This window comes from Homo sapiens, chromosome 13 (genome assembly GCF_000001405.40).
Source record: "Homo sapiens chromosome 13, GRCh38.p14 Primary Assembly".
Classification (NCBI taxonomy): Eukaryota; Metazoa; Chordata; class Mammalia; order Primates; family Hominidae; genus Homo; species Homo sapiens.
This window is the reverse complement of record NC_000013.11, coordinates 88,624,241-88,646,673: the sequence shown is the minus strand read 5'-3', so window position 1 is coordinate 88,646,673 and position 22,433 is coordinate 88,624,241. Positions and strand designations below refer to the sequence as shown.

General features: G+C 34.8%; 1 long non-coding RNA gene across 1 annotated transcript; it reads right to left on the bottom strand.

Annotated features, from left to right (window-relative positions):
* Positions 1 to 16,276: 16,276 nt before the first annotated feature.
* Positions 16,277 to 19,821, bottom strand: LINC00560 (long intergenic non-protein coding RNA 560). The gene is made up of 2 exons (NR_047490.1): positions 18,524 to 19,821; positions 16,277 to 16,577 (listed from the first exon to the last, which is right to left on the bottom strand). It is a non-coding gene; the product is annotated as a long intergenic non-protein coding RNA 560 (long non-coding RNA).
* Between the last annotated feature and the right edge of the window lie 2,612 nt (positions 19,822 to 22,433).

The window sequence follows — 22,433 nt, the reverse complement described above, 5'->3', positions numbered from 1 at the left end:
CTATATAACTGCCAGGTCGTGTAAAAGGTTTCCAAGATCTCCCTGAAATTGTCTTCAGTCCTATAGAGAAAAGGGGACCATATTCATGAGGCATCCCTTGTAGGGGCTAAGTGAGGCTGGGACCCACCTAAGATGAAGTGTTTTAGGATTTGGACAAGCTGGAAAGAGAACCTGACTAGAGAATACATTATAAACCAGCAGGAGCAAGAACAAGGGGAGCTGACTTGCTCACTGGAGGCACCACTGGGGTTTGCTTCCGTAATTTCTACGGATTGTCTTTTGTAGCCACTCCTGAGATGACCACTAGGAGGTCTAGATCAATCCTACAATGTTGGCAAAGTTCAGATTATCCTGCAAGGCAAAGAAAGCCTGCACATATGGGACCTCAGAACATTTACCCTCATGTTTACAGAAAAGGTCCAGCTGCAGGATAGTTTTAACATTAATACTTCCCTCCAGAGGCCAAACTTCTCTGTCCAGCAGTTTATAATCTAGCCAAGTCTATGTGCAAGGGAACACAAGGCATTTTTTTTCCAGTGTCTGAGGTTCAAAAGAGTTCCAGTGATTCAGGATGCACTTCAGTGGAGTGCAGGCTGAAGATGAGTTGTTACCCATCTGGAAAGAGAGGGGGAAAAGGCATCCCTTAGTTCCTTTCTCTCTTCCTGATAAATTCCAAGGTATATGAGGGAGAGAAAAAAATACATTCCTTTCTTTCTTCTCTCCACACTTACCTGAGTCATTGTGGCCACCATAGGCATCTCCCATGTGTTGTGGGAAGTCAGGGACCCCAAATGGAGGGACTGGCTGAAGCCATGGCAGAAGAACATAAATTATGAAGATTTCATGAACATTTATTAGTTCCCCAAACTAATACTTTTATAATTTCTTATGCCTGTCTTTACTGCAGTCTCTGAACATAAATTGTGAAGATTTCATGGACACTAATCACTTCCCCAATCAATACACTTGTAATTTCCTATGCCTGTCTTTACTTTAATCTCTTAATCCCATCATCTTCATAAGCTGAGGAGGATGTATGTCACCTCAGGACCCTGTGATGATTGTGTTAACTGCACAAATTGTTTGTAGAGCATGTGTGTTTGAACAATATGAAATCTGGGCACCTTGAAAAAAGAACAGGATAAGAGCAGTATTCAGGGAATAAGAGAGATAACCTTAAACTCTGACTGCCAGTGAGCCAGGTGGAACAGAGCCGTATTTCTCTTCTTTCAAAAGCAAATGGGAGAAATATCACTGAATTCTTTTTCTCAGCAAGGAACATCCCTGAGAAAGAGAATGCGTCCCTGAGGGGAGGCCCCTGAAATGGCCGCTTTGGGGACGGCTGTCTTTCACGGTCATAGCGGAGGTATGAAATAAGCCCTGGTCTCCCGTAGTGCTCCCAGGCTTATTAGGACGAGGAAATTCCCACCTGATATATTTTGGCCAGACCGGTTGTCTGCTCTCAAACCCTGTCTCCTGATAAGATGTTATCAATGACAATGCGTGCCCAAAACTTCATAAGCAATTTTAATTTTGCCCCGGTCCTGTAGTCCTGTGATCTTGCCCTGCCTCCATTTGTCTTGTGATATCTTATTACCTTGTGAAGCATGTGATCTCTGTGACCCACACCCTATTCATACACTCCCTCCCCTTTTGAAAATCACTAATAAAAACTTGCTGGTTTTGTGGCTTGGGGGGCATCATGGAACCTGCCAACATGGGATGTCTCCCCCGGACACCCAGCTTTAAAATTTCTCTCTTTTGTACTCTCTCCCTTTACTTCTCAGACTGGCTGACACTTAGGGAAAATAGAAAAGAACCTATGTGAAATATTGGGGGTGAATTTCGCCCAATACCCTTGGATGCAAGTGTGACCTCCAACCATGGAGCAAGAGGGTCCAAAAGCAGGGATAGTCACACTTACCTACTCACACCCTGACCTGCTCCTGCTAGTAACCTTTGGGTTCCCTGGACCTCATCTATGCCATGGATGCAAGCAAGTCTTCCACCCATGAAACAGGAAGGCCTAGTTGGCAGGGATAGTTATGCTTACCTGTGCTGTGCCCTAGCTTTCCACTATTGACTGGCTCTGGGTTCCACAGACCTAGTTCTCCTTTTAGGGCTCCAAACTGAACCTTGGAAAATACATTGGAGTAATGCTAAGGTGAAGCTGTGGAACCAGCTCCTCCTTGAAAAAAGGGGAAAAAAAAAGGGAGTCTTGGGAATTGGGGACCTAGTCTAATAAGATGCTTCTCAAAAAGAAAAAATGAATCCCTCACATAGAAAAGCTCCTTGTATTCACAAGATATGTTGACTCCTGATATGGTGAAAACAAACAAAAAAATCCTAAAATATAAAGGAGGGAAGAGGCCTGGAGGAAACAGACTCTTGCCTTATGCTAATGGTTTTTTTCATCAGGGGAAAGAAAACTCTCTTAATTGTCACATCCTCCTTTTTCTAAGAATAAACAGAAACAGCGTTGTTCTGGAATATGCTCCTTTTGACTAAGCCAAGTGGTCATTCTACTCAAGTAATATAATTTCTTTGGGTTGTAAGAAAACCTGCACCATTGTATATAAAGAGGGAATAGCAACCACGACAGTCTCCAAAGAAAGAAAATGATATAGGAAAGACTGGAAGTCTTTATTTGACACCTAAATGGACTGTCAGGAATTGGAGTCAATCTAGGGGCCTTCAGGTCCCACCAAATTGTGGCCTTGGCCAGATGCTTTCAGTTGCACCAGAACATTGTTCTATTCCCATGTGATGGCTAGACTTTCATGAAGGGACACTGGATTGGAACACAGCCAACATTCCCAACACCCAAGGGTGAAGGGGAATTGACAAAGTCCTCCCCAGCAAGCTGGTCCTCTGAGTCTTGTAGTGGATAGCAGCCATGCTATCCACTCTTAACTGGCTGACAGAGACCTGGTGTTTTATCTGCCTTCAGGAAAATATCTGAAGACAAGAAACCTCAGAATTAAAGTAGAGTCATAAGTCCTTTCTTACTCCCCCTTCTGAAGATCCTGGACAAGCCCCCAGAAATGTAACGGCTTTTTTACTCCCATAGTTTGGCAAGCATGAGGAGGTGGCATCCAGTGGTTATTTCTCTCCTGTTGTTCAGTGTGCAGGACAGAGTGTTACAGCTCTTTTACTCACACAGATCACAGCTCAGCAATCAGAAGCATTACAGCTCTTTTGCTCCCACAGTTTGGCGAGTTCTGGGTTCTTGTCCCCTGATCAAGAAGAATGAGGTATGTGGAAAATGGAGAGCAAGTAAGGCAGGGTAGAATTTTATTGAGTGGTAGAAAGAAAGCTCTCAGCTGCAAGAGGGGACCTGAAAGCAGGTAGCTGCCTGTGAGCCTGAGTTTGGGGTTTTTGTATGCTTAGAATGGGGGAGTGCATGCTGATTGGTCCATGGGTGGGCTTGGAAAAAGCACCATTTGATTGGTTAACAGGCATCATTCAGAAGAACCCAATCAAAAGAGAGTGAGTAAGATGGGGATGGAAGTTCTCACTTTGGTTGTGGACTCTATCCAGAAATGGCAGCTCAGTTTTCAGGCTTTAAACTGTCCATGTTTTGAAGATTGGGTTTCACCAGAGACCCATCCCTTTCTCCTAGGAATCTGTTTCCTGTTGCTATCAGTATCATACTTAATGGGGAATAACTAAAAGCTTTTCCTCTAAGATCTGGAACATGACAAGGATGCCCATGTTTACCACTGTTATTCAACATCATACTAGAGTTCCTAGTTAGAGCAAGAAGAAAACAGAAAGAAATAAAGAACATTAAAATTGGGATGGTATCCCAGCACTTTGGGAGGCTGCGACAGGCAGATCACAGTCAGGAGATCGAGACCATCCTGGCTAACATGGTGAAACCCCGTCTCTACTAAAAACACCAAAAAAATTAGCCAAGCATGATGGTGAGTGCCTGTAGTCCCAGGTACTCGGGAGGCTGAGGCAGGAGAATGGCGAGAACCCAGGAGGCGGAGCTTGCAGTGAGCCAAGATCGCACCACTGCACTCCAGCCTGGGCAACAGAGCGAGACTCCAGCTCAAAAAAAAAAAAAATTGGGATGGTAGAAGTCATATTATTCTTGTTTGCAGATAACATGGTCTTATATTTGGAAAAACCTGAAAACTCCACCAAATTATATTAGAAATGATAAACATATTTAGTAAAGTTCAGACTACAACATCAACATACAAAAATTATTTGCATTTCTCTATGCCAAGAGGGAACAGTCTAAAATAAGTCAATAAAACTAATCCAATTCACAATAGCCACAAATAGAACTAAATACCTAGTAATCAAACCAAAGTAAAAAACCTCAACAATGAAAATTATAAAACACTGATAAAAGAAACTGAATAGAGCACACAAAAAATGGAAAGACATTACATGCCCATGAATTGGAAGAATTAATATTGTTAAAATGTCCATGCTACCCAAAGCAATCTACAGATTCAATGCAACCCCTATCAAAATACCAACGACATTACTCACAGAAACAGATAAAAGCAATTCTAAAATGTATATGAAACCACAAAAGACCCAGAATGGCCAAAGCGATCCTGAGAAAAAAGAACAAAACTGGAGGAATCACATTTCCAGAGTTTAAATTATACTATAGAACTATAGTAATGAAAAGAGCATGATACTGGGTTAAAAAACAGACATATAGACAAATGAAACAGAATAGAGACCTCAGAAACAAATGTGCAGACCTACAGCAAATTCATTTTTGGCAAAGATACCAAGAGCATACATTGAGGAAAATACAGTTTCTTCAATAAATAGGCCTGGGAGATTTTGATACCTGCATACGGAAGAGTGAAACTAGACTCCTGTCTCTCTTCATGTACAAAAACAAAATCAAAATTGATTAAATACTTAAATCTAAGACTTCAAACTATGAAATTTACTACAAGAAAACATTGGGAAACAACACAAGGACATTGGTCTAGGTGAAAATTTCTTGAGATATACCCCACAAGCACAGGCAACCAAAGCAAAAGTGGACAAGTGGGATCACATCAAGTCAAAAAGCTTCTACACAGCAAAGGAAAGAACAAACAAAATGAAAAGAAAACCCACAGAATGAGAGAAAATATTTACAAACTACCTATCTGACAAAGGATTAATAATGAAAATATATAAGGAGCACAAACAACTCTGTAGAAAAATATCTAATAATCTGATTTTAAAATGGGCAAAATATTTCAATAGACTTTTCTCAAAAGAATACATACCAATAGCAAATAGGCATATGAAAAGGTGTTCAACATCATTGATCATCAGATAAATGAAAAACAAAACTACAGTGAGGTATCATCTCACCACAGTTAAATGGCTTTTATCCAAAAGTTAGGCAATAACAAATGCTGGTGAGAATGTGGAGATAAGAGAATCCTCGTATATTGTTGATGGGCATGTGAATTAGTACAATAAAAAAAACCCTAAAAATAGAGCTACCATGCAATCCAGAAATCTCACTATGGCTATATACCAAAAATAAATGAAATCAGTATATTGGAGAGACATCTGTACTCCCACATTTGTTGCAGCACTGTTCACAACAGCCACAATTTGGAATCAACATGAGTATCCATCAACAGATGAATTGATAAACAAAATGTACATATACATAATGAGTACTATTCAGCCATAAAATGAATGAGATCCTGTAATTTGTAACAACATGGATGAAAAATGTTAAGTAAAATAAGCAAGGTATGGAAAGACAAACATCACATGCTCTTACTTATTTGTGGAGTCTAATAAAAGTCAAAACAATTGAACTCATGGAGACAGAGTAGAAGGATGGTTAGCAGAGGCTGGCTAAGCTAGTGGGGGAGTTGGGGGCCATGGATATGGTTAATGGTGCAAAAAATTAGAATGAATGAATAAGACCTAGTATTTGGTAGTACCGAAAGGTAACTATAGTCAATAATAATTTAACTGTACATATAAAATAACTGAAAGAGTACAATTGTACTTTTTTTGTAACACGAAGGATGAATGCTTGAGGGGATGGATATCCCATTTTCCATGATATGATTATTATATATTGCATGACTGTATCAAAGCATCTCACGTACTCCATAAGTTTATACACCTAGTATGTACCTACAAAAATTAAAAATTAAAAAATGTAAATTGAGAACTTGCTGAAATGTGTTATCCACACAAATACCTCATGAAATGAAACAAAAAGATGCACTAAAGTAAAATATGTGCTACAAGTATGAATGCTTATATATACACTCTAAGTCAATTAAGGAAATTTTCTGTGTAACAGAAGCTTTTAAATAAATTTAGAAGAGGAAAACCAAGAGAAAGATATAGCAGCAAAGCAAAGTCTTCACCAGGGAGGCCTGAATGCTAACACCTCTGCTCTCAGCCTGGTCAGAGTCATCCACACCGGAAGCCATAAGCCCAGCTGGATCTGACTTTGCCAGAGATATATGTTCTAAAAATGCTCATATTTAAAAAATGACAATTGGTCTTATAAAGTATTTATAAGCATTGTATGAAGATTTCAGAAGTTAAAGTATAATTTTAAAAAAATCAGAAGACTGGCAGTTACATCAGGGCTCTAATGATTAGTGAATACGAGTTCCAAAAGTAGAAAGTAAACAAAACAAAACAAAACAAAACAAAAACTGGAGTGCTTGAAGTATTGATGGTCATTCCAAACACTGAAAAGGACAAATATTTTCCCTTTGAAAAAGAGAGTTTAAAAAATCCTCATAATTATTGTTCTAATAAGAATTTTTAAATAATTGATGTGAAGATTATTTTTGGGTTTCTGGAATAAGTGTACCAGAATATTTTAGATTTTTTTCAAAGAAAAAAATAAGAAAATTTTGTCTTACCAAGTAACAAAAAAAATTATAAAATGTATTATTATCACAATAATATAATTCTATAGTAGAACTAAGGCATAGCAGAGAAAATTTGGAAACAACTTTATAAATATATATTAATTAAACAGTGGAAAATAAATTCAGACAAGTAAAGGCATTTTTAATAATTAATAATGCAGCAATGGCCATTTATTTGGAAAAATGTAGACTACAAAAACATGTTGGTTACAAAACTGGCAACTGGTTTAAATTGATTAAACGAAAAACTACAAAATGGTTAGTTGAATAAATAAGAAAAAGCTATCAATTTGGAATACATTTTCCATTAGACTTCTATTGCTGCTGTAACAATTACTTCACCAATTTGATGACTGAAAGTAACACACATTTATTCTCTTATTATTTTAGAGGCCAAAGTCCAAAGTGGGTTCTATTAGTCTGAAATCAAGGTACCTGCAGGGCTTCACTCTTTCTTCAGGCTCTAGGAGGTAATCTGTTTCCTTGCCTTTTGCAGCTTCTATAGCTGCATTTCTTGTCTGATGGCACCTTCCTCCACTTTTGTCTTAGTCCATTTGGACTGCTATGATAAAATGCCATAAACTGAGTAACTTATGAACAACAAAAATTTATTTCTCACAGTTCTGGAGATTGAGAAGTCCAAGATCAAGGCATGAAAAGATTTCAGTAACTAGCAGGGGCCTACATTCTGGTTCATAATATTGCCTTTTAGCTGCGTCTTCTTTTGGTGGAAAAAGCAAGGCATCTCTCTGGGGCCTATAAGGGCACTATTCTATTCATGAGGGCCCCACCCTCATCATCTAATGACCTCCCAAAGTTCCTACTTCCTAATAGATTGCATTGGATACATTTTGAGAAAGACGCAACCATTAAGACCACAACAATCTTTGTTCAAAGCCATCAGTGCAGCATCTTCAAATCTCTCTTTGCTATGTTTTCAGAATGCATTCTCTCTCATAAAGACCCTTGTCGTTACATAGGACCATAATTCCGGATATCTTTACACTTCAATATCCTTAATTTAATCAAATCTGCAAAGTCCCTTTTGCCAATTTAATTAACATATTAGGATATGGAGATCTTGGGCATTATTAGTCAGCCTATCACAGATATCTTCTTTCTCAAAATAGTGTGAAAATACACATAAAAACAAGTACTGTTAGATTTCATGACATTAATAAACACCTATAAAGCAAAGGATACTACCATAAAGTTACATATCAAGAGGCAGATTGAAAGAAATCATTAGCTATGTTTTAAACAAGTATTATTATACAACATATTAAAAATTTGACAAAAATTAAAAATTAAAAAAATTAATAGATGCATAGTCAAACTAAATATAAATGAGTAATAAAAATCTGAAAAGATGATTAGCATCATGGATCAGAAAAAACAAAATGTTTCAAATTATTACTTTTTACCATCAAAATTCAAAATAAAATCAGATTGAACATGTAATCATTAGTATATATTGGGTAAACATTATGATAGAAAAGTCAATATTTTTTCAAATAAAATATGTCTGAATTTTGACACAAGACTTCCATTTTTGATATTTACTCTTGATAGATATTTGTCCATACACCCAAAAGAACATGTGAAATAATATACTGTTAGATTTTTCTTAATGTGTGATTGCACAATATCTGTAAAATCAAGATGGCTTTTAGTAGAGAAATCTTTAAATAAATAGTTATGTAAATGCTAGAGCACGCTATGTAATAGTTAAATAATCAAGCAAAATGATATCAATAGATATGAAATTATCTCTATATCATTAATTTGAAAAGACAAGGATGCTGTATTTTGTTTATGATATATATATACACATTTATCAATTTCTTCAACAGAAACTAGAGTAAGGTTGCAGATTGAGCAAACAATATTTCAACATACACAGTTAAATTTGGATTTTAGATAAACCATAACTATTCAATATCATATATTTGACTGTTTTTTGCCTCAGTTATACAATTTTAAGTTGGATTTTAACAGTTTCAACTTCTCGAAAAGTTTCATGTTTCAAGAATTAATGTGTTTTGTCAATATTTCACTAATAAAAATGTAAAACCTGTTGTAATAATAGCTTCCAGTAGCACAGATTATACACAGATTTATTAATAAATATACTACTCTCATAAATAATTAATGTAGCATTACAAGTAGTGCAATGTTCAATTCCTGATATTTTTAAAGATCTCTAGCAGTAATTAAATCTCAAGTGTTTACTGGATTTCTAAATTATTTTGTACTACATATTTTTTGTGTCACCATAAGAACATATTTTTTTTTCTTAACTATATTGCAAGAGCCTTAAAGACAGGACATTTATTTCTTAATTTTTCCCTAAGTACATCGTGTATAATAAAATATTATACTTAGTAGACTTCTGTAAAAATTTTGCTGGATTTCTGACAAGTATTATAAATTTTCACACAAACTTTAAGGCTTAGATTTATCACAATTTCTAAAAATGTTTTGAAATGTGATTTTTACTTTTATTCTGAGTGGTATTCTCTTTAAATTCTAATATAGCAACTTTATTAAGATTACATTATTTTTGATTACATAATAGTTCATTTGGATTACATAATAGTTATTTAAAAATATTTATTCAGGTGAAATAATTTCTTTCTCTTTTATGAATATTGACTGAAACTCCAAGTTCAGTTAAAAGGAATTAAAGTAAAAGCATGTGGATGGATAGCTACCATCTTTCACCATTGCTGAGTGTCAATTGAAAGTGCAGAATCTCTGAATTGTAGGCTTTAAGCTTTAACTCCTTTAACCAAAGATTGCTTAAGCGGTGGCTCACGCCTGTAATCCCAGCACTTTGGGAGGCCAAGGCGGGCGGATCACGAGGTCAGGAGATCGAGACCATCCTGGCCAACATGGTAAAACCCCGTCTATACTAAAAATACAAAAGCAAATTAGCCGGGCGTGGTGGCAGGCACCTGTAGTCCCAGCTACTTGGGAGGCTGAGGCAGGAGAATGGCGTGAACCTGAAAGGCTGAGCTTGCAGTGAGCTGAGATCGCGCCACTGCACTCCAGCCTGGGCGACAGAGCGAGACTGTGTCTCAAAAAAAAAAAAAAAAAAAAAAAGATTGCTTACTCTATCTCTTGGATCTTTTTGTTCTGTTCTTGATTTTTGTTCAGATATAATATTAAGCTGGTTGCATTTGTGTGTGCCTATAGTTTCAGCAACTCAGGAGGCTGAGGCAGGAGGATCGCTTGGGCCCAGGAGTTTGAGAGCAGTCTGGGCAGCATAGTAAGACCCTATCTAAAAAAAAAAAAGAAAAAAAAAGAAAGAAAAGAAAAGAAAACGAAAAGAAAGAGAAGGCAAAACTTTTCAACATACCTTCTTGAACTCTATTCAGTGAAAATCTATGGTAGGTGAGCCCTGTATATTAATTCCGGAAAGCATTTACCATTGAAATGGCAGATGAATGTTTAAACACTATCAAGTTATAAAAGAACATAGTTAGTTAAGACAGTGAAAACACAGTCTGTATTGATTTAAACACAGTGCATCTTATGGAAATTCAATGATTTCTACTGTGGTAGCAATCCCCATCCAGAAAGAAGTTGGAGAGCTCTCAAAGACACACTATGTGGCAAATTTTTATGTGTCTGTGTGTGTATACATATAATTTTTAAAAATTTAAAAATTTGCCAGTAGTTCATGGTATACTTATAATGAATAATGCAAATAAGGAATAAAAATTTTTCATGTACTATGAAACTAAGGAAACATCACTCAAGGCCTTTCTCCTTTCCTCTGACTTTTCTTCCGTCACAATTTATCTTGAGTCCAGTGAAATAGACACAGAAGGATTCTTTGGGATCTGGCTTAGAGAAAGGTGATTTGAAAATAGACAATTTTTATAACAACTTAGAAAAATGTTTTGATACATCAACTAAAAAATAAGAATAAATTAATGATTCTAGCTTGGAAGCATATAGGTAACTTTGTTTGCCAAATATAAATTTATGTATTTTTAAAAATAAGATAAATTTCAGGTAAATGTAATTGGCATGTAAAACAAATTTGATATAAATTTATAAAACATTTTTCTGATATTAAGAAGCAAATTCTAACATTCTCAGATTATAGCAAAAGCAGAAATTTATTAAAAGAAAACTATAAGAAATGAAATAATAAATGATCACTTTGATTTTTAGATAATTCATAAAAATGATAAATTATAAAATACATTAAAAATTGAAATCCATGAAAATTTGGCATAAAATATTGGAATTTTATTATTAAAAATATTAAAAAATTAATATTAAAATAAATTTTAAAACTAATGATATAAAAATCAAAATGCTTAATAATATAGTTATCTCAAATGTGTTCTGAATTTGTTGCTGCTCAAGAGTACACAAAAAAGCAAAATATACTATAACTTACATGTGAAAAAAATGATGTCTTCCAATATTTGATACCAACAATAATTCTGTATATTTGCAATATTTCACTAATACAAACTGTAAATTTGAAAGATAGTTATATAAAACATCCTAAATAACAATAAATTTTGATATACCATGCTAGAATAAACTTAAAATTTTCTCTTTAGTGTCTTTAATGATACAGTATAGTTCCCATGTAAAGTGCTGATTATAAGGAGTATAAAGCCAAAATTATCATTATAATTAGTAGCACATGATGAATTAAAGTAATATAATTACATCAAAATTTTTGTTAAGTGTTTATTATAATAATTTTACATTTTCTTAAACTAAATCCCTTAATGATATTAATAGGGCTTTACTACATGTTCATGGTTAATTACTATAGGCATACTTTGGAGAGATTGTGTATTTGATTTTAGACCATGACAATAAAGCCAATATTACAATAAAGCAAGTCACACAAATTTTTTGGTTTCCCAGTGCTTATAAAAGTTATGTTTACATTATACTATAGTCTATTAAATGTGCAACAGCATTATATGTAAAAAAAGTACGTATCTTAATTTGAAAATATTTTATTGATACAACATGCTAACAATCATGCGATTTTCAATTTATTTTACCCATGTCCATCAAGGAATCACTATTTATGGCAGCTACAGCCTTTTGAAATGTATTTCTTAACTAATAACACTTGAAGATCAAAATTACTCCTTGAGCCATGGGCTGTAGAATGAATGTTCTGTTAGTGGGCATGAACACATCATTAATCTTTTTGTACATTTCCTTCAGAGCTTTTGGGCAACCAGGTACAATGTTAGTTGTAATATTTTGAAAGAAATATTTGTCTCTGAGCAGTAGGTCTCAATGTGGGCTTAAAATATTCAGCAAACCATGCTATAAACAGATATGCTATCATTCAGGCTTTGTTGATTCATTTATAGGACATAGAGTAGATTTAGCATAATTTTTAATGGTTCTAGGATTTTCAGAATGATACATGAGCTTTGACTTCAACTTCAAGTCACCAGATGCATTAGCCACTAACAAGAGAGTCAGCCTGATCTTTGAAGTTTTGAAGCCAGTCATTGATTTCTCCCTATGTAGGAAACTCCTAGATGACATTTTTCTTCCCACTAAAAGGCTTCGTTCTACATTGAAAACTGGATGTCTAACTCCAGGACGTCGGTCTTTGCAAAAACTTTTTGAGTAAGATCTCAAAAGCACAAGCAACCAAAGCAAAAATGGACAAATGGGACCACATTTAGCTAAAAAGTTTCTGCATAGCAAAGGAAACAATCAACAAAGTGAAAACACCACCCACCTAATGGGAGAAAATATTTGCAAACTACTCATTTGACAAGGAATTAATAACTAGCATATATAAGGAGCTCAAACAACTCTATAGAAAATAATCCGATTAAAAATGGGCAAAAGATGTGAATAGATATTTCTCAAAATAAGATATACAAATGACCAACAAGTATATAAGAAATGCTCAATATCACTAATAATCAGAGAAATGCAAATCAAAATTATTATACAATGAGATATCACCTCACCCCAGTTAAAATGACTTTTGTCCAAAAGATGGAAAATAACCAGTGCTAACAAGGATGTGGAGAATGGGGAGTCCTCTTCTTGTGGAGAGAGGTTGTTGGTGGGAATATAAATTAGTACAGCCACCTTGGAGAACAGTATGGAGGCTCCTCAAAGAACTAAAAATTAGAACTACTACATGATTCAGCAATTCTACTATGAGGTACATACCCAAAAGAAAGAAATCAGTTTATTGTAGAGATATCTTCAGTCCCATGTTGATTTCAGCACTGTTCACAATAACCAAGATTTGAAATCAACCTAAGTGTTCATCAATGGTAGAATAGAAAAAGAAAATATGGTCCAGATACACAATGGAATATTATTCAACCATAAAAATTAAATTATCTCATTTGCAATAACATGGTTGGAACTGGAGGACATTATGTTAAATGAAAGAAGACAGGCACAGAAATACAAATATCATGTATTTGCACTCATACGTGAGAAGTAAAAAAAATAAACTCATGGAAATTGGAAGTACAATGATGATTATCAGACAGAATAGTAGGAAGGATGGGATAAAGTGGGGATGGTTAATGAGTACAAAATACGGTTAGATAGAGTGAATTAAATCTAGTATTCAGTAGTACAACAGAGTGGCGATAGTTAACAGAAATTTATTGTATATTTTAAATTATCTAGAAGAGTGGAATTGGAATGTTCCTAACACAAGGAAAAGATAAATAATTGAAGTGATAGAGACTTCAGTTACCTTGATTCAATCATCACACATTGTATGCTCGTACCAAAACATCACATGTGCCCTATAAACATATACAACTGTTATATATGTATAATAATGAAATATTTAAACTTTTAAAAAAGTGTTGTTTAGTGCATCACCTTTATCAATGATCTCAGTTAGATTTTCTGAATAACTTCCTGCAGCCTCTACATCAGCACTTGCTGCTTCACCTTGCACTGTTATGTTATGGAAATGGCTTCTTTTCTTAAACCTCATGAACCAATTCTGCCAGCTTCAGATTTTTCTTCTGAAGCTTCCTCACTCCTTTCTGCCTTCATAGAATTGAGGAGGATAGAATTAAGGTTCTTGCTTTGGATTAGGCTTTAGCTTAAGGGAATGGTGTGGCTGGTTTGATCTTCTATCCAGGCCACTAAAACTTTCCCTTTACTATCAGTAAGACTTTTTTGCTTTCTTATAATTCATGGGTTCACTAGAATAAGACTTTTAATTTTCTTCAAGAATCTTTTATTTCCATTCACAACTTGGCCAACTGGGTTCAAGAGGCCTAGTTTTAGCTTCTGACATGCCTTTCTCACAATGTTTAATAATTTCTAGTTTTTGGTCTAAAGTGAGAGAACCTTTCATTTGAACATTTACAGACTATTGCAGAGTTATTGATTGGCTTAATTTCAATATTGTTGTGTCTCAGGGAATAGAGAGGTCCAACAAAAAGGAGAGAGATGAGTGACTATCTGGCCGATGGAGCAGTTGGAATACACATATTTTTCTATTAAGTTTGCTCTTTTATATGGGCCAGATTTATGTCTCCTGGAAACAATAATAATAGTAACACCAAATATCACTGATCCCACATTACCATAATAGATATAATAATAATGAAAAAGTTCAAAATATTGTGAAAATTACCAAAGTGCATCAGAGAGAGAAAGTGAACACATTCTATTGAAAAAAATAGTGTCAATAGACTTGTACAGTTCAGGGTTGCCACCAACCTTCAATTTGTAGAAAACACAATATCTGCAAAGCGCAATAAAGTGAAGCACAATAAAATGAGGTATTGCTGTGTTTGTTACTTGAATGAGACAGTATTCACCATCAATTTTATTCCTATATTCTCTTTTCTTTTTCTTTTTTTTTTTAGGTAGGTGCCGAGAAAATGTGATCACAAAAACAGATGGTAATGGAAGCTATTTTATTATAGCAAGGTTTCTTGGCTCTTTGAACTTCTTAATAGTTATATGCCCCAAATTACATAGCTATCTATCTTCAAAATTATTTTTAATAATCTGTCATCTGACAACTCTATTAGGTTTTCCCTTCATTGTGTTGAAAGTAAATAATGGGAAACCTGAACAAAAGGATTTATTACCCAGCCATTAATGCCATTCACTTTTGCAATACCAACTTTAGCACTTTTATTTCTCTCTAAGGGTGTCTCAGGGTTATTTGCCTTCAGGGCAAAGCATCGTAGTTAGAGTGACTATATAGTTTATCATCCAAATAAAGAATACACATAGGCAATATTAATAAGTAAACAAGAAAAACAAGCATAAGCCATACTCTCATTAGCAAATCAGCACATAACTATCACCCTATTGGTTAAAAAAATAAAAATGGATAAGAGACAAGCCATTGTTTGTACAATTAGAGAGAGAAATTTGTAGAAAGAGAAGTGAAAAATGGCAGATCTCCTTTTCATGGCAAATATATTTTAAAATAGATATGTTTTACTCTTAGAAAGCTGCATATTTAAAAGTTGAGGATCTTAATATTTCCAGATATTTATGCCTGGAAACATTAAGGCACGGCAATGTGTTAGAACAAAAGACACAGTGGCAGAACATGCAGGTCTTTACTGCAGGAGACCTTTGACATGATGTTGGTTTATTTGGAATCTACTCTTTCAGTAATGTGAAATTATGTTCTAAGACAACTAAGATCCCTGCCTCCAACACTATATATCTTGATCTAGGGTAACCTGTGTTATTAAATTGTCTGAGAGGATTGTATTGGTCAGAGGACACATCCCAATGTAATGAAATAAGTTAATGCCCCACTCACCTTTAACTCACAGAGAAAAGTTTGCACAAGTAGCTTATGTGGTCAAATTTAGTTGAAATACCTTCCCAGTTTACTCACTCCCAACACTAACTAGTAATATTCATTACTGCATGGCAAAGTTGTAGAATGGGGCTGGTGTAGAGGGAGACGTAGAAAAATAAGCTAGAGGAGAAGGCTCCCAGCTGCAAATTTTAATTTTTTTTCTGAAAGTTGTTTGTATTCTGTTTGGGATATTTGTCTCAACATTTGGTATTTTACATAGGTAATGAGAAAATTTCTTGTTACCCCATGTCAAACCTTGGAAGTCTAAATACTTACGGTCTAAATACCTAAAATCTAAATACTTTCTTTAGAATCAAAATATGTATTCTCCAATATTCTGACCCATATGTAACCTGCTTAACCAGTGTCTAAATAAACTTCATATCCAGACATTACCAGAAGTCTTCAAATTCAGTTTTCTAGAGGACAAATAACATGGAAGTAAAAAATATGAATACGAATATCCGAACATTTAAACCACACAGCATAAAACGTCAGTCCTGTTCCCTTCCTCCTTTCTTTGTGTCTTCTCAAGGACTTACTATCTCTCTCCGTTGCATCATATGTTTATTTTCTCTTTCCTATAACACTTCTTAGTATTCTCCATGTGAGATGAGAAATAAATTTCCCTTGACCTCATATTTCTGATCTAGAGCCACACCTTTCTAGAAAACTCTTCTTTTTATATTGAAGCATGTTGAAATCTCTTCTATTTCAATGGTGTCTCCATTCCCTGACTATACATTCCTTTTTCATCTACTGTTTACAAAAAGGGTATCCCTAATCTTCAAGTTCAATCTTCACTTGTGTTCTTACTTCTTTAGCAGTATTTCCAGATATTGTGGCCACACTCCCTTCAAAACAAACAAACGAACAAACAAAAAACACATAGTTAGCTGATATGTTTTCTTATTTATTGTTTTTCATTTGTTTGGTGGCGACATATTTGTTTTTGCTTTTTTAAATTATTTTCTTTTGCTGCCTTAATAATATAAGTCCATTGAAGTAAGAACCCTTCAAAAAACACATGGATGCAGAGAAAGTACCAAATAAATAGCGAATGAATAAGAAAAAGTTATTATTTTGGAAACAGTTTTATTGAATATATGGAATCCAGAGATCTGCAGCCCATGCAAAACCACTAGCTTAATCAGTAAAGATAAGTTGATTTTAGTGATTGCTTCAAGAAAACAAATTCAGCTCTCTTCATGTTCTCGGTTATTAAGTACCTTACCATTTTATTGATCTCTGATCTTTTCATTATTATTCCCTCCTAGTTTATTTTACTTTTATTTCTTTTTTTCTAGCTTTCTTCTATTTTCAAAATATGCACTTAAGGCTACACATTTCTCTTTATGCTCTGATATACCTACATCCATAGTAATATCTCTCATGTGTCATATTTTCATTATTATTTATTTCAAAATGTTTTGTACAGCTTTGTGTATTTCCTCTTAAAAGACAGGTTATTTAGAAGTACATGGGTAATGTTCAAACATTGAGATTTTATAGTTGTCTTTTTAAAATAATTTATTTGCAGTTTAATTTATTCCTAGTCAAAGAACACATTAGAGGTTGATTTTCATGATTTAGTTTTGAAAAAAAAAGTGCTTCATTGGTACATTTGGTATCACCTTTGCATAACCTCGAGTCAGCAGCTAAAAGTTTTTTTTTGTTACAATGCCTGCCTCTAACATCACCCTCTTACTGCCTCCAAATTGCTGCTTTTAATTTTCTGTGTGCTGGGAAATCAGATAAGCAAGCACTTTTTTAAATAGTGTCTAAAATAAGAGTTTGTAAGACCTGAGGGACTCTTCTATGAAGACAGTGCTTGGCTTTTGGCTCACAATCTATGCCACATTTATTTTTATTGAGGCCACTAAGAGACATGTGTTTGTTGATTTTCAGGCTCATGCCTCTGTGTGATCTGATTAGTTAAGTTTATCAAATTTATAGTGAGTGCCCACTGAACAGCAGGGACTGGACCTGAGCTGGATTTACAATTGTGAATAAAGCAGTATTCACCCTCAAGGCTCTTTGCGTTCAGTAGGTGAGAAAGTCACTCACAGAAAATGTGCATATACCACAACAATTTCAATTAAAAAGACTCATACAAAGTTTATGAGAACACAGAACTAGGCACCTAACCCGGACTGGTGGGTATGCATGCTTGGAGGGATGTTCAGAGAGGAGATAAGGAAAGGAATTAAGATACAAATAATTATTGAAATAAGTATTAAAGAATTAATAGATATTAGAAAGACAGAGTAAAAATAAAGCCATTCCAAACAGAAGGAAAAACATCGTCAAAGGTACAGAGGAAAGCAAGCAAATAAAAAGCAGAAAGTATGTGAGTTACAATACATTACAGTATTGTACAATATACAATACAGTAGGACAGTGTTGGTAGGCAAAGCGCATGTCAAGAGAGAAATAGTTGAAAAAAGTGATCATTGCTCTGCTTGAGTTTTCATCTGTGGCTAAAATGTTTCATATACACATAAAGAGGACAAGAGAGCTACTGACAGATATGACTACATTATTTAAATCATTTTGTAAAAATTAAAACCAAATACATAGTTCAAAGCACTTTTGTTCACCAGTTTATTTATTACATCTCAACACTCTTGTGCTTTGCATGTGGTATCTATTCACAATAAAAATTATTTATCTAAAATATTAGGAACATCAGATGATAATGAACTGTTATATGAACATATTTACATTCTCACATTTGTATTTTTGAATTGGAGGAAAAGCAAACTAATCATCGATATATACAATCCTCAGTCTGTCTTACCTGAGCAAAAGCATGATATGATTATTCCTTAAGAAATTTCGAGCCAGGTGAATCAGAATTCATTCATTTAACAAGTATTTGTGGAGTCCTTTCCATGTGTCTGGTGCTGTTCTGGACAGAGAGGATAAAATGGTGAATGGATACTGGCATATTTCTGACACTTAAAATCATAGGGTCTAGTGGAGGAGGCAGACATCCATCAAGTAATCACAAAAAATAAATGCTAACAATGTTATAAGTGTTATATGACACATAAAGAGATGGTAACAAGAAGATTCTATTTAATCTGGGAGTATTGTCTCTCACAGGCTCTAAAGGAAGCAAAAAAGTTAACTGTGATCTAAATATTGAATCAAAATTAACTAGATAATGGGAGACAGAGTAAAGGGATTAGAAAGGGTATTTCAATCAGCCTGGTCAATATGTGCAATTCTCACTAGGATGAGAGTGCATAGACTGTCTCTGGAACGGAATGAAGGCTGAAGAATGTGTTATGTGGAAAGGACTGAGACAAAGTGTGGAGTGATGGCAAAAAGAAAGGACATGAGCAAGTCTGGGTAGAAACTCTAGGTGCCAGACCAAATAGAACTTTGTACTTAGTTCAAAAATTTGTTATCTAAATAGAGTTTTTGTTTTGTTTACCTCCTAACATTTTTTTAAAATTTGAAATTAATTTCAAACTCCCAAAAAGCTGCACAAATAAAATAGTTCAAGGAAGAGCCTTATACACTTTACCAATTCACTTGTCATAACTTGCCCTGTTTGCTTTATAATTTATTCATTTTCTCTCTCCCTTCCTCTTTCTCCTGTGAGTGTGTGTGTGTGCGTGTGTGTGTGTGTGTGTTCCAGAACCAGTATGAGCAGTCTGATTGACTGTCCATGTTTTAGCACTGAAAGTCCCGTGTCCCTGGAAACCTATCAGTCCAAGATAAAACATAACAGTTAGTCACTCTGAAAGTATCCAGCCTATGATGGAGTATTGCACTTAGCTATCACGTCTCTTAATGATTTCTTTGAATGTGAAATTTCACACATTTTTAATTAAAGTTGTACATTTTTCTCAGGATATCAAATCTAGACATGCAATTTGAACAGCTATGTATAAATGTTCCTCCTTTTATATATTAGTATCTTATGGTCCAAACAAAGTGTTATCTGCAACTCTTTAGAACAAAACAATAAATTGTGTAATAATGAGTCAAGAAAAGGAGACTTAAGTTGGATTCAGAGCTCTGATAGATGCAGACACAATTAAAATATAAAAAAGTTGTCATCATTGTTTGTAAAGAGTTGTGTTAGATTAAATATTATAGTCAATACACACACTGTGTAGTTATTATAAATTTAATTAATCAATGTTAAAGAAATACTTTAAGAACCCCTCAAAAATTAATTAATTAAGAAGTTTCATCATTGACTAAACATCTGTAGTTCTCTTATAATGCTATGTGTTTATCTTGTCCATATAATCAAATGTAATGACCAAACTCATTTTTTTCCCTATACTAGATTTGTATTATTGCTGAAACACATTACCATAAAACAGTTGCTTAAAACAACACAAATATATTATTTTACAGATCTGGAAGCCAGAAGTCCAAAATTAGTCTTGTGGGAATAAAATCAAGGTGTCCATAAGCTAGTCCCTTCTGAAAGCTCCAGGGAGAATCTGTTCCTATCTTTGAACGACTCATAGCATCATCATTTTTTGGCTTGTGTTCCTACCATTCCAGTCTCTGCCATTGTCATCACATTGCCTTCCTTCTAATCTCTGATATTTGTGTCCTTTTAAGGATCCCCATGATTACATTGGGCACACCCAGACAATCCAACATGATCTCACAACTCAATATCTTCAACTTAATCACTTATACAATATCTTTTTGCAATGTAAGGAAACATATTGACAGGGTCTGGGGATTAGTACATGGACATTTTTGGGGTGCCATTATTCAGTTTACCATAGCTCCCAAATTCTGTATTGAGTTCAGATCAGATATGTAGCTCCTAAACACACAAGTACCATAAAGGCTACTTGTCTGAAACTCAGCTCACTTGTGCCTACCAAGTCCTCCTTTATCTAATTTATGAATCTCCATTTGAAATTTCTTTTTTTTTTCTTTTTTTTTCTTTTTTTTTTTTTTTTTTTGAGGCCGAGTCTCGCTCTTTCGCCCAGGCCGGACTGCAGTGGCACTATCTCGGCTCACTGCAAGCTCCGCCTCCCGGGTTCAGCTTTCCCGACTTATTATCACATCCAGAGATATGTTACTCATCTATGGCACTCTTTCTTCCCTACTTCTCACACATATCCAGGGATTAAATCTCATTTGTCCTTCCTCCTTTGCATCTCTACTGCTGTAATCTCAGTTCAGGAAGTCACAAAGGGCACTGAGATGCTGACTGAGGTGTCATTCCTAAGAACAATGTCCATTCTTTAGAGTCTGGATACTTTCAGCTCATTTTTTTTTTTTTTTGTAGCTCATTAAATTTCATCAGTACTTAAGTACTTGCGATTTCCCCGATGTGTTTTCTTATTTTTTTTTTTTTTTTTTTACTGCTATGGAAACTAGAGTTCATCACATAGAAAGCTATGGCTATTTTGAATGACTTCATAAATACATACAGTCTTATATGCACACATTTTAAAAATAAATGTTACTGTCATGCACGAAAATTACTGTATAACTTCAAATATGTTTTTGCCACAGACTGGTACAAGACTTCCTGATGGGGAGAGCAACCTGAACAGTCAGCTCAGCTTGCAATGTGCTCCTCTGGAGGCAATCGGCTCTGCCTCACTGTGACTCTTTTCCCAAAACTATGTTTTATGGAACTCTGGGCCAAACTATTAGAGCTTCTACAAAAACAGTAAGATGTCAGTGATTGAACAATTTTAGTAATAGAGTTAACGTACTAAACTAGGTTTCTTAATTGCAGGAATTTTCAGAGACTTCAGTATTTTAATAATATTGTGATTTATCATGTAGGTATACATGTACGTGTAGAATTTTTCAAAAGTTTTTAAAACCAGTTCTCCATTTATTTTCTCAGAAAATCAATCAGCTATTGAACAACTATTTTTCACAAAACACAATTCAAGCTACTATTTTGCTTTAACCCCATACTAGTTTCTTGTGGCTACTGTCACAACTATCACAAATTTTGTGGTTAAAATAACATAAACTTATTCTTTCACAGTTCTAAAGGCCAGATACCTGAAATTAGTATCACTTGGCTGAATCAAGGTGTTGTGAGGACTGTGCTGCTTCTGGAAGCTCTGAGAGAGAATCTACACCTTGCCTTTTTGAGCTGTTAGTGGCTGCCTTCATTCCTTGGCTTGTGGCCTCATCACTCTAACCTCTGTTTTCATATCACCCCTTTCTCTGTGTGAGAAAAGTCTCCATCTGTGTCTTTATAAAGACACATATGATTGCATTTGGATCCACTCTGCTAACCCAGATAATTCACCTATCTTAAAGGTGAATTATCTTTAAATATTAATAATCTTAAAATATTAGCTTAATCATACCTGAAAATACCCTTTTCTCCAAATAAAACCTTGCAGGTTGGGGTCAGCAGGTTATGCTCAATTTTCCCTCTCTTCGAAATTGTTAAATTTTTTCTTAGTTACCATACATGAAACACCTCCATTATACACAAATAGGATGCATAATCATACACTGATTGACAGTGTAACATCAGTAGGTCTGAACTCTGACTTAAGCAACCTGGGCACTTAAACTGTGTGTACCCTACAATATTATTTAAATTATCCCTATATACCCAAGCTGCATAACTGCAATTCTTTTTTTAATACAGGTTTTCTCTCTGTTGCCCAGGCTGGAGTACAGTAGCATGATCACAGCTCACTGCAACTTTGACTCCCTGGGCTGAAGCAATCCTCCCACTT